Source organism: Homo sapiens, chromosome 2 (genome assembly GCF_000001405.40).
Source record: "Homo sapiens chromosome 2, GRCh38.p14 Primary Assembly".
NCBI lineage: Eukaryota > Metazoa > Chordata > Mammalia > Primates > Hominidae > Homo > Homo sapiens.
The window spans coordinates 106,487,758-106,501,491 of NC_000002.12; the positions used below are offsets into that span (position 1 = coordinate 106,487,758).

Consider the following 13,734-nt stretch of genomic DNA (forward strand, 5'->3'; position numbering starts at 1 on the left):
GAAAGAGAGGGTCACTGGAGGTCACCAGGGGAAGGAAACAGGTCCCTGCCCAGGGTCCCCGCAGGATGTGCTCGGAGGAAGGTTGGCCAGGCCGTGGGTCCTGTGGACACATTTTTATTACTTCCGGGGAAGTGTTTGTAGTACAATCAGACAAACATGGGGCGTTCTCAGTTCTCGGAGGGCTAGGGCAGGGTGATCCCTCTGGCTCCCGTTCTCCCTGATGTGGCTGGTGTTGGGTGTCATGGGTAGCGTGGCTCCCTAGGAAGCAGCCTGGAGGTTGGGTTGCTGGAGTTGGATGGGGCATCTGGATTGTCCTTCTGAGTAAGCCCAGCCAGACTGCCTTTTGGAAGAAGCCTCCACACACCCGGAAAACTGCCCAAACTTGTCGATTTGCTCTCGTGCCCAAAAAGCCCAAAGCTGGTCATCTTGCCAGGGGGTGACAAGGCCTGCCCGCCGGGGGTTCTGGCCCAGTGAGTGCCACATCATAAATAGAAAGAGCCCAGGCCGTTCAGAGCACTAAAGTCATTACTGATGAATCTAGAAACATCAGGTCCCTCTGAGAATGGAATTCCTGGGTTACCGAGGGGAACATGCAGTGAGGCCTGGCTCCATGTCCAGCACACAGCAGGGCCTTGGCCACAGCCCGGAGTATTCAGTTCCTAGGGGACAAAAAGCAAGTGGGTCCCGGGAAGAGCCGGGGTGTGTCTCAGCCAGGAGAGGAAATGCACACTCACAGCCCAGGCCTTGCTCTTACAGGAGTCGCTTCTGGGTTTTCCCTGAAGGGCTTCGGGCACCTGTGTACTTGCAGCCCCACTGTGTGCTCGTGAGCACATAACCACCATCGGGGAGAGGATTGCAGGTTTCTTCAATTCAGTGGTTCAAAGTCAGGTTCTGGGGTCCCACAAGCTGGGTTTTAATCTGGATCACTGTGTGACCTTGAGCACATCTTTAACCTTCCTGAGTCTCTCTTTCCTCATGGATAAAGTAGTTGCAAAACAGTATCTCCCCCACAGGATTTGGTGAGGATCAAATGAGACAATGTATGCGCCATGCCAGGCACAGCTCAATAAACTGGCATTATTGATTCTTATTAACTCCCCCAAGAAGTGAGTGACCCAAAGCAAGGAAAAACCTCTGCTCTGCTGGAACGGCAGTGTGGTGTTTGGGGAAACAAGAGGAAGTCCAGCAGCCACTTGTGCCCCAGGCATCATTTCCTTCTTGTTTTTATTTTTATTTTTATTTTTTAATAATTTTTTCTTTTCCAAGACGGAGTCTTGCTCTGTCGCCCAGGCTGGAGTGCAGTGGCGCAATCTTGGCTCACTGCAATCTCCGCCTCCCGGGTTCAAGCCATTCTCCTGCCTCAGCCTCCCTAGTAGCTGGGATTAGAGGCATGCGCCATCATGCCTGGATAATTTTTGTATTCTTAGTAGAGACAGGGTCTCACTATGTTGCCCAGGCTGGTCTCGATATCCTGAGCCCAAGTGATCCTCCTGCCTCGATCTCCCAAAGTGCTGGGATTACAAACATGAGCCACCACACCCGGCCCCATCATTTCATTCTTGATGCGAGCGAAAGCTAAGAGTGGTCCAGGAGCGAAGTCAAAAAGTCGAAGTTCATTTCATCAGTGTTGGAGAAGGCCATTATGGGGCCACGGAGCCTGAGCTGCAAGTGCAGGCAGGATTTTAAACATGAGGTGCTCAGTAAGCTGGCTCCTCTTGGGCACACACACATGCCCTCTGCCCCCCTCTGCCTACCCAGGTCTGTGTCCTCTCTGTGCCTCCCAACTCCTGCGTCTCTGCCCTGGCCTGCAATGTCTCCCTTTGCTCCACAGCCAAAATGAAGGGCTCACCAGGTCAGATTGTGTTTGTTGGAAGCTGTGCAGCCTTGGTGTGTATGGAACCTGTTCTGATCCTTCTCCTTGAGATTTAATTTACTTCCAGTAACAACCCTGTGATATGAGACACAGGGACAGTATTTACCTGTGTACATGGCCATACAGTTTGCAGTGTGCTTTTTTGGACAGCATTTCATTTATTTCCAACCCTCAGAGGCAGGCAGGACAACAGCCCCAAGCTGTCCTCCTTTCATAAGAAGACAGAGGCTCAGTGACTGGCCTGAGGTCTCACAGCTGGCACGGCCAGAGGCTGGGTTCTGGGCCGGGTCTGTGAGTCCTGCTCTAGCTCCTCATGAATAAGCCCCTGCTTGCCGGGTGCTTCTCGTCAGAGTCTAAGATGAACTCCCAGCCCTGCTTCTGTGGTGTCTGTCCTTCCACTGGGGAATACGGATCCAGTGACCCATCAGTTGCTGGGCTCGGGGGTCATGGGCTGTAATTGTACCTACCAGGGTCTGTCCAGCAACGGACAGACCAGCCACATGCTCTGCTGTGATTCTGGGCTCCTCTCCCAGCCTGTCCTGGGTCTCCTTCGGCAGTTTGGAGCCTACCGAAGGGCTGTACATCCAGTGGCAGCCAGGGGAGGTGAAAGGCAACCAGTTTTGGCTTCAGACTTCAAATCCTTGAGTTTGACTCCTAGGCCACTTACATACTGTAAGTGGGACTTTGAACAAGTAACTTCATGCCTCAGTTTCCTCATCTGTGTAACGAGGATTAAAAATCCTGGATCTATCCTTTTGTGGTGGTACATGCCTATAGTCTCAGCTACTTGGGAGGCTGAGGTGGGAAGATAGATTGAGCCCAGGAGGTCAAGGCTGAAGTGTACTATGATAGTGCCTGTGAGTAGCCACTCCACTCCAACCTGGGCAACATAACAAGACCCCATGTCTTTTAAAAAATTCCAAAGCCAGTTTGAGGCTTGATTGAGTTCCTTTATGCAAGGGCCAGGCATATAAGTACACAATAAACAAATGGCAGCTCTCTCCCCTGTACCTTTGTAAAGCTGAACTTAGCAAACACCTGCCTTCCAGATGATCTCCTGGGAGGTGGGGTATGTGAACTCTGAGTCCAGGAGCCAACAGCTGTGCTCAACACACTCCCTGGACCCAGTAACTGGGCAGGTTCTTCCATGGCTTTTCCTTTGACACTTGACTCAGTGTGACTGCGAGGTCCCACAGCTGTGGCTAGGAAAATGTGCGATGTCTCTGTTCTTGGCTTTTCCTAGTTCTCCATGGCAACTCAGTCCTCCAGCAGACCCCTGCATACATAAAGGTGCAAACCAACAAGATGGTGATGCTGTCCTGCGAGGCTAAAATCTCCCTCAGTAACATGTGCATCTACTGGCTGAGACAGCGCCAGGCCCCGAGCAGTGATAGTCACCACGAGTTCCTGACCCTCTGGGATTCCGCAAAAGGGACTATCCACGGTGAAGAGGTGGAACAGGAGAAGATAGCTGTGTTTCGGGATGCAAGCCGGTTCATTCTCAATCTCACAAGCGTGAAGCCGGAGGACAGTGGCATCTACTTCTGCATGATCGTCGGGAGCCCCGAGCTGACCTTCGGGAAGGGAACTCAGCTGAGTGTGGGTAAAAAGCAGGCTCAATGCTATCAGTGAGCACCGACTGTGTGCCAGGCACGTGCCAGGCACTGGGACCACCAGGCTTCAGTGTGCCCCTGTCTGCAGCTGTGACTAATGGCACTGCTGCTAATAGTAACAGAAAGAACATGTGGAGACTTACCCAGGCCAAGCCCCTCCAAGTGTTTACATAGTTAGCTTCCTTAATGCTGCCAACCACCCTGGAAGGTAGGTCTATTACCTAACCACTTTAGGTGGGAATAAGATGAAATTGGAAGAGACGGGTCAGCGTCAGAGATGAGCATTGTGCTTCTCTTTTTTATTTATTTATTTATTTTTTTTGAGACAGAGCCTCACTGTGTTGCCCAGGCTGGGGTGCAGTGGTGCGATCTTGGCTCACTGCAGCCTCTGCTTCCTGGGTTCAAGTGATTCTCCTGCCTCAGCTTCCTGAGTAGCTGGGATTACAGGCATGAGCCACCACACCTGGCTAATTTTTTGTATTTTTAGTGGAGACGAGATTTCACCATGTTGGCCAGGTGGGTCTCGAACTCCTGACCTCAAGTGATCCACCCACCTTAGCCTCCCAAAGCGCTAGGATTACAGGCGTGAGCCACCGTGCCTGGCCAGGCATTATTCTTCTTATGGGGACAGGGCAGTGCGGTCCTTCAGGCCACATCAGGGACATTCGAAGCTACGGCTGGATTGGGCTGAGCCCCTTGGCCTTATAGTGGTGTTAGAAATCCCCAGAGTGTGCACACAGGGAAAGGAGGCCCTCACTGCCCTGATATACCCAGTGAGGGCATTTCTAGGGGCAGTGGAGGGACAGGTGCCCTTATGTTCTCTGTGAGGGCCTACAGCTCGAATTCATACCTGAGTCGAAGTTAGTAAGGAGACTGAGCCAGGCCCAGCTCTGCTTGCAAACTTGCCATGCTTTCTCCCCTGGGCCTCAGTGTTCTCTTCTGTGTCACACGGGGGTGCTGATGGCCTCCATGACCCACTTAATCCCAGAGAAGCTGCAGACCTCTGACTTAAATCAGCAAGTCCAGCAGACGCACATTTCAAGCCACAGATGAAATTCTAAATTTAAAGTCATGTTTAAAAAAGCAAAAAGAAGCAAGTAAAATTAATTTAAATAATGTTATATTTAACTCAATTTATTAACTATATTTTCATCTCAACATGTAATCAATATAAAAAGTATTGCTGAAATATTTTACATTCATTTTTCATACTAAGTGTTCGATGAGCATTTTACATAAAACATATGGCTCATCTCGATTCAGACTGGCCACATTTCACGTGCTCAGCAGCACCTGTGGCATATTGGACAGAAGGCATTTAGTTATGGGTGGTAACTCTCACAGCCTGCCTCTGGCTCTAGCCCCACCTCCAGCTTGGCCCAAGGCTGGAGCCAACCCCCTCCAGGGCTCCCACTGCCCTGCTTCCTGCTCACTTGAGGGCACTAAAAGCCACAAGGGGACCCAGAAATTAGACCACTCAGCGTGAGGAAGTGCAGGGGCAGCTGGGGACAGCAGCACGATTAGGAAGACACAAACCAAAGTGATGCCCCGCCACCTCTTGCTAGCCTGGGAGGGTGTATTGCAGGCAAGAAGCTGAGGCATCCCTTCACGTGGGGATCCACTGATTTTCGTATTGAAAAATGGACTTTGGGAGTTTGGGGTTTGGGGTTTGGCTTTAGCTTATTGTTTTTGTCTCTGTAAGCCCCACACCTTTCCACTCATGAGATTTCAGAGTCTGAGAAGGTGGAGGGTACAATAAACACAGCTAGTTTCCCGCCTTCCCACCGCCTCCATCCCAACCGCACTCACTCCTGACTTCAGTGTTTCCAAACCCCAAACCCCTCCCAGCACTACAGGAATGTCAATGCCTCTCTCCAGCTCTGGTTTGCAGCCAAACCTGCTTCTCCCCAGGGCTTGCAATCAGACCTTCTTCGGAGCCGAACCCCACCTTCTCACCCAAGAAAGGCCTTTTAGAGGACAAAGCTGGGATGGTTGAGAAAGTGTTTGGGGAGAGACAGGGCCTTTTTCAGGCCCTTAAGTATATCATGGGCTCGAAGTTTTATTCCTTTTAAGAACAGAGAGGGAGAGATTAAACTGGGGGCTCAGGAGGAATCCAGGGGGACCTGGCTCTAGGCAAGAAGAATTTAAAACAGAACAGTCCCCCAACCTGAGTCTCCCCTAGACCCAGGCGGCGGTGCCCAGCCAAGGCACTGAGGGCCCAAAGAGTTGGCTCCCCTCTGGGCTCACCACTGACCATCTGAAAGACGTCCCTGCTTCCTCGGGTAGAAAATAAGTCAAACAGAACTACTCTAGGGCCGTGAGGATTGAAGGAGGCAACACTCCCAGGAGAGGGCCAGGCTCGTTGCACCCTCTCCGACCCTGCTGATGACAGTTTCCTCTTACAATAGTTGCCCTCAGCACTATGATGACCCAGGGCCTTGGGTGCACCTAAAGTGTTCAACTTTTTGTCAGAAAATCTTTGCACGTGAGGTAGTGTGGCAGAGCGAGAAGCACAGGTTCTAGAATCAAGGTCTTTTGCTGCAGATACTGGCTCTGCAGCCAGTGGCTGTCTAACTTTGGGCACATTGTTTCAGCTCTCTGAGCCTAGGCTTCCTCCTGGATAAAATGGGGACAACAGTGCCTGCCCCAAAAGTTGTTGTGTCCAGTAAACTTATGCGGAAAGGCTCAGCACTGCTCCCCACACATGGCTGGAGCTTAGTGCACTTTCATCCTAGTTGCTTCTTCCCATCAATGTCTTGAAGCAGACAAACAGATCGTGTTCTCTCCGCTTTCCAGAGGAGGCTCAGAGAGGTGAGGGGTTAAAATGTCTACTTTTATATAGAAGATGCCAGCCCAAAAATGACTGATCTGTGGGCTTCCCCTGCCTGTTCCCCCTTACAACCCCCCAACACCTTTTTTTTTTTTTGAGACGGAGTCACTGTCACCCAGGCTGGAGTTTAGTGGCAGGATCTTGGCTGACTGCAACCTCTGCCTCACAGGTTCAAACGACTCTGCTGCCTCAACCTCTTGAGTAGCTGGGATTACAGGCACGTGCCACCACGCCCAACTAATTTTTGTATTTTTAGTAGAGACGGGGTTTTGCCACGTTGGCCAGGCTGGTCTTGGATTCCTGACCTCAGGTGATCCACCTGCCTCGGCCTCCCAAAGTGCTGGGATTACAGGCGTGAGTCACCGCGCCCAGCCTTAATATTTCTTTTCTTTTCTTTTCTTTTTTTTTTTCTGTCCCCCTGACTCTAGAGTTTAGGTTCATGGTGTCTCCTTACTCCCTCTCCTTCCATTTTGGAGAAAATCAGTGCAGAGAGATCTGTTTCCTTAACCCACAAAGGCAAGGGTTGGACTCTGTGGCCAGCAGTGCCCCCTTCATCCCCAGTAGGCATCAGAGCCACAGCTGTCTTCCTTTGCTCTGGGTGCCGGCCCACTGCCCCTCCCAACACTTCAGCAGGGGTCACTGGGTAAAAATGAAGGAGAGGGGTGACCCATCCAGGAGTCAGGACAGGGGCTTGGGGTCCCAACACAGCACTCACCACTTGGGGCTGCAGGGGCCAGCTCCCCTTGTCTCTGGTGTTCACCTTTGAAATTAAAGTTTGAGACTGAACTTCCCTTAGCTCTGATATTATATATATATTTTAGGGCCATCTGAGAAGGAAAACCAATCCCCAAATATGACACATGCGTGGTACTCTACATGCAGAAAAGGGCACCCCCTCCTTCCATGAGCTTCCTCCATGTGCTTAGGGAATGCCGAGTTGGGCGGAGGGGCTCGTTGTGCCAAAGGCTGGGCGATCCAGCCCTGGGGCTCAAGGTCTTCAGCCAGGTGGAGCCACATCTACTGAAACTTTTTTTGGACACACTGTCCCTTTCATTCTCAGATAATCCCAAGAAGGAGGTGGCAGTTATCATTATTTCAGCAGATAAGGAAATCAAGGCACAGAAAAATGCTATGACTTGTCCCAAGTCATACAGCGGTTAATCAGGGGTGTAGGTCGGCCGGGTGCGGTGGCTCGTACCTGTAATACTAGCACTTTTGGAGCCCGAGGTGAGTGGATTGGAGTTCAAGACCAGCCTGGCCCACATGGTGAAACCCCGTCTCTACTAAAAATACAAAAAATTAGACGAATGCAGTGGCACGACGAATGCAGTGGTACGCGCCTGTAATCCCAGCTACTCTGGAGGCTGAGGCAGGATAATTGCTTGAACCCGGGAGGCAAAGGTTGCAGTGAGCCGAGATCGTGCCACTGCCCTCCAGCCTGGGCTACAGAGCGAGACTTTGTCTCAAAAAATAAATAAATAAAAAAATAAAAATAAATAAATCAGAGGTGTAGGCTCTGCTCAGTTCTGTGTGGCTCCAGAGCCTTCCTCTCTCCAGGACACAAAGCTGAACCCCATCCCTAGGCCCTCACCCCTTTCCCAACATCTGAGAATTCAGAAAGCAGATCAAACATTCTATTGCTCTGTGACCTTCAAGCCCTGTAGCAGCCTGGGGAACAGTCATAAGGACTTCAGTACTTGGATGTAAGACAAATTTTGTTCATTTGTTCATTTATTTGCTCTTGAGACAGGGTCTTGCTCTGTCGCCCAAGCCAGAGTGCAGTTGCATGATCATGGCTCACTTCAGCCTTGACTTCCCAAGCTCAGGTGATCCTCTCACCTCAGCCTCCTGGGTAGCTGGGACTGTAGGCATATGCCACCACGCCTGGCTAAACTTTTTATTTTTTGTAGAGAGGGGGTTTCACCATGTTGCCCAGGCTGGTCTCAACCTCCCGAGCTCAAATGATCTCCTGCCTTGGCCTCCGGAAGTGTTGGGATTCCAGGCATGAGCCACCGCACCCGGCCATAAGACAAAGTTTTGTCTTTGAGTCCACGTGGTGTTCACTTGGCTAAGATATGTGTCTTGCTTTCTTTCTGTAGTTGATTTCCTTCCCACCACTGCCCAGCCCACCAAGAAGTCCACCCTCAAGAAGAGAGTGTGCCGGTTACCCAGGCCAGAGACCCAGAAGGGTGAGTTCCCTATCCCTCTGCACCCTCAGAAACAAGGCAGACATCCCCTTGCCCTCCCTCCCTCCCCTCCTTCCTTCCCCAGGCACTTTCCAAGTGTCAACTCTAGAGCCTATCTCCCCAGCCCAAGCTAGGGTCAGAAAGGATGCTGAGTGTGATAGCAACTCACAGTCTCGTGGGAGACAGACTCGTAAATTGTTACTGGACAAAGCTTAATGGAGGAGATCTCCACCCACACCCCTGCACACAAATGTCCACAGCTTCATTATTCATACTAGCCAAAAGCAGAAACTACCCAAACATCCACCAGCTAATGAGTTGATTAACAAAATGTGGCTTATTTATTATCGTGGAATATTGTTTGGCCATAATAAAGAATAAAATGAAAGGAGCCAGTCACAAAAATCCATATACTATATGATTCCATGATTATGGAATATCCAGCATATGATCCTCTGTAGAGACAGAATGTAGATTGGTTGCTGCCTAAGGCTGGGGGCTTGGGAAAGAAATGGGGAGTGATTCCTAATGGGTATAAGGTTTCTTTTTAGGGGAATTTAAATGTTCTGAAATTACATTATGATAATGGTTGCACAACTCCATGAATACACTAAAAACCATGACATTGTACACTTTAAACAAGGGGACTTTATGAGTAAATTATAACTCAATAAAGCTGTTAACAAACAAAAAATCCACTCAAAGGACCAGCACTTTAAACTTTTCCAGTTTTGGCCAGACGTGGTGGCTCACACCTGTAATCCCAGCACTTTGGGAGGCCCAGATGGGTGGATCGCCTTGAGCTCAGGAGTTAGAGACCAGCCTGGGCAACACGGTGAAACTCTGTCTCTACAAAAATGTAAAAAAATTAGATGGGCGTGGTGGCACATGCCTGTAGTCCCAGTTACTCAGGAGGCTGAGGTGGATGCCTTGAGCCTGGGAGGTGGAGATTGAAGTGAGCTGAGATCCTGCCACTGCACTCCAGCCTGGGTGATAGAGCCAGGCCCTCTCTCAAAAAAAAGTTTCCAGTTTTAATACCTAACAGAGGACCTAATACACAGTATGTGCTAGTTCATGAATACATGTTTGTTTGCAAATGAACACATTTGCTTCTCTATGCTCCACCAGACACCTCAGCTGGAGTGTACGCACATACACACACACACAGACACACATGCCCATGCACACGCTTTCCTTAAACCCATCAGCCCAAACGTGTTTCTGGAAAAATACTGACCTCAGCCCAGCAAAAGTCACTGGTGACAAACAGAAAGTGCCATCTGCTGCTACCCAGAAAACAAACCACAAGCAGCCCCAGGAGCACTGCCTCACACTGCTCAGTTTGCTTTGTCTTAAATATTTTAAGTACCAGAAATTATTGAGGACAGTACTGAATAGGATCTGGGAGACCAGGGTGGGAAGCTGCCGTCACATGAGGTCACAGTAAAAAGAAAATCAGAACCAATGTACAGAAGAGTAAAGTCTTAAGGAGCTTAAGAGTAACCTTATTTTACAAAGTCCCATGCCCTGACCCCTTCACCTAAACGATTTCAGGCAGACTACAATAAAAAGGATATAAAAGGCAAATACAATAGAGCCACTAAGATGAGGGCACAAGAACTGGTTGTGTGCTATGGCTGTGGAGAACCCAGCAACATCAGTTTAAACAAAGGGAAGACCCCAAGTTGTATGGCACCCCAACCCCAGTGATAGAAAGAAACAACCTGCCACCAAAAGAAGAAACCTTCATCCTAGCACTAAATTCTAGAAGCAATCTGCCCATTCATCTTCATGTAAGGACAGCTGAATGACGGCAAACTCACTCATACTTTTATAAATGATGGCAAAAACAAAGGTCTTCAGATTTCTTGCATAATTTCTTTTCTTTCTTTCTTTTTTTTTTTTTGAAATGGAGTCTCACTCTGTTGCCCAGGCTGGAGTGCAGTGGCGTGATCTCAGCTCATTGCAACCTCCGCCTCCCAGGTTCAAGTGATTCTCCTGCCTCAGCCTCCAGAGTAGCTGGGATTACAGGTGCCCACCACCACGCTTGGCTAATTTTTGTATTTTTAGTAGAGGCAGGGTTTCACCATGTTGGCCAAGCTGGTCTTGAGCTCCTGACTTCAGGTGATCCACCTGCCTTGGCCTCCCAAAGTGCTGGGATTACAGGCGTGAGCCACTACGCCTGGCCTCTTGCATCATTTCTTGTACTAACCCTCAGTAAATTCCCAGGGCAAAATGCAAACCAAAGATTAATAGGTTGTTAAGAATAACCCGGATGTGTGTGAAGGTGACCTAGTGGAGTAAGGCTGGGGATGGGTGTGGGGAAAGTAGGTGGAGGTTACACTGAGGAGAGTGGCCCTGGGTCAGTGTAGCCTAGTGGCAAGTCAGTCAGGCCTAGGTCTGAATCTCTGTCTACCACTGCCTGTACTATGAGACACTGAATAGGTGATTCAGCCTCTGTGAACCTCAGTTTCCTTGTCTGTGAAATGGGGATGCAGGATTAAATGAGATGCTATTATACACCAGGCACTCAGAGCTTGTGGGGCGTCCACACAGACCTCAAAGCCTGTGATCATGAATGAAACCCATGGGGTCACTGAGAAGGCACTGTCCCTGAGGCTTAGGGCTGTTCCTAAGACAACACCCTTAGGTGCTGGGGGACCATTTCTAAACCATGGACTCAGGAGCAGAGTGCAGATCCAGAGCTCAGGAGACCCTGAGGCCCCAGTAAGATGAGGAAGGCTGGGCTGGGGGTGTCATTGGTGTGGCTCTGGCAAATGACCCCTTACCCAAGCACGTTATTTGCAGCAGCAACTTTTCCCGGAGAGTCACATTTTGGATGGGAGACAGTGCTCCAGAGGAGACCTGTAGCTACATTGCTGGCCTCCACAGTGGTCTTAACCATGACCTCTCCTCAGGAAGGAGCCCTGCCGCCCTGTACATCCCTGCGACCTGCACCCACCTCCATTACAGTTTTTAAAAACTTAGTTGAGCTAGGCATGGTGGCTCACACCTATAATCCCAGCACTTTGGGAGGCCAAAGCTGGTGGATCACCTGAGGTCAGGAGTTCGAGACCAGCCTGATCAACATGGCGAAACCCGTCTCCACTAAAAATACAAAAATTAGCTGGGCATTGTGGTGGGCACCTGTAATCCCAACGACTTAGGAGGCTGAGGCAGGAGAATCGCTTGAACCCAGGAGGTGGAGGTTGTGGTGAGCCGAGATCACGCCATTGCACTTCAGCCTGGGCGACAGAGCAAGACCCTGTCTCAAAAAAAAAAAAAAAAAAAACCTTAGTTGAGATATAATTTGCATACCGCAAAGTTCACCCATTTTAAGCATACAAATTCAATGATTTTGGGTAAATTTACCAAGTTGGGCGACCGTTACCGTAATCTAGTTTCAGAAGGTTTCCATCACCCCAGTAAGATTCCCTGTGCTTGTTCACAGCTCATCTCTGTTCCCAGCCCCTGGCAGCCACTAATCTACCGTCTACCTCTGCAGATTTGCCTCCCCAGGGCATCTCATAGAAGTGGAATCACACACCATGGGGTCTTTCATGCTTGGCTTCTTTCACTTAGCACCATGTTTTGAGGTTCATCCAGGTTGGGAGAACAAATAGGAGGTGAGAGGGAGCCCAGCAGATGCCCTCAGCATCTCAGAGGGGCCCCTCATCCAGCCTCCCTGTCCGTGTATGAATCTCCTCTCCACACCCCAGCCATCCAGCCTTGGCTTGTTCCCCTCTAGTGACAGTGGGCTGCCACCCATGTAGCAGCCCGCTCCCTTCCCTCCTGTACCTCTCATGCCCTCATGCAGCTGAGGTGGGCCCCACAGGGGCTTGGAACTCGGAGGATCTGTGTCCACACCCTGGTCCTGCCTTTTAGTAGCTGGGTGACCTTGGTTATATAATTTAACCTCTTTGAATCTTGTTGTTTTTGTTTTTTGAACTGTGAAATGAGAGGTAAAAATAATGGCAAGCCAGGCACGGTGGCTCACACCTGTAATCCCAGCACTTTGGGAGGCCAAGGCAGGTGGATCACATAAGGTCAGGAGCTCGAGACCAGCCTGGCCAACATGGTGAAAACCCATCTCTACTAAAAACACAAAAATCAGCCGGGTGTGGTGACAGATGCCTGTAATCCCAGCTACTAAGGAGGCTGAGAAAGGAGAATCGCTTGAACCCAGGAGGCAGAGGTTGCGGTGAGCCCAGATCTCGCCATTGCACTCCAGCCTGGGCAACAACAGCAAAACTCCGTCTCAAAAATAAATAAATAAATAAATAAATAAATAAATAAATAAATAATTAAAAAATACCAATACCTTTCTTCCTCACAAGATGGGAGTTTGCATTTAGTATGTACTTAGCACATATGTATTCAGTAAAAATTCTCTCTCTTCCTTGACATCCACAATGCTTTCCAATTTTCCGAACCTCGAGCCCAAATCTGCAGCCTTGCCCTTTCACCCATGGGCCCTGCTTTGCCCCTCAGCTACTCAAGGGACCAGCCACAGGGGCCTGAAGGGTGTCAGAGGAGGATTTGGGACATTGATAGTGTAAAGTCTGCTGTTTAAATAGCACACAAAATGGACAAAGGAAAAGATAGTCAACTCGTAGAAGAAAAATCATACAAGTTCCCAATATATGAAAATAGGCCAAAGCTTATAAGAAATTAGGGAATTTAAGTGAAATAACATTTTCCCCCACTTGACTGGCAAAAACTAAAACATTTTGATGATATCAAGGGTCAGCAAGGTGCACTATTGGCGGGTGGGGACGGAAGTCAGTGCCGCCTTTTAGGGAGGCATTTGACAGCATCTGTCACAATTTAAAATGGGCAAAGTCTGGGGTTTAGTAGTTCCCGTTCTCAGTATTTACCTCAGGAAGGCACCTTTGTAAGGAAATATACAGGTTGTTTTCTGCAGAGTTATTTGTAAAAGTAAAACACAGGAAACAATCAAAAGGCCCACTGATGACAAGTAACTCATGGTACATCCATGCTGTCAGATGTTACTCTGCTGGAAGAAAGAACACATTGACTAAGTGAAGGAAAAAAGGTGCATTGAAAAAATAAAGGTACAAAAGAACAATTTGTACAGTATAATCCACTCTATATATTTTTTAAAACTATATGTATTTAAGGCCAGTTGCGGTAGCTCACACCTGTAATCCCAGCACTTTGGGAGGCTGAGGCGGGTGGATCACTTGAGGCCAGGAGATTGAGACCATCCTG

At 49.3% G+C, this 13,734-nt stretch overlaps 1 protein-coding gene across 3 annotated transcripts in view; it reads left to right on the forward strand.

The window, feature by feature from the left end:
• CD8B2 (CD8B family member 2) overlaps positions 1-13,734 on the forward strand; it is a 56,934-nt gene that overhangs the window by 394 nt on the left and 42,806 nt on the right. For all 3 annotated transcript variants that reach the window (NM_001368307.2, XM_024453217.2, NM_001349727.2), the window contains exons 2-3: positions 3,117-3,476; positions 8,416-8,505. In NM_001368307.2, the coding sequence (NP_001355236.1) occupies positions 3,117-3,476; positions 8,416-8,505 (450 nt within the window). The remainder of the gene's footprint in view (positions 1-3,116; positions 3,477-8,415; positions 8,506-13,734) is intronic.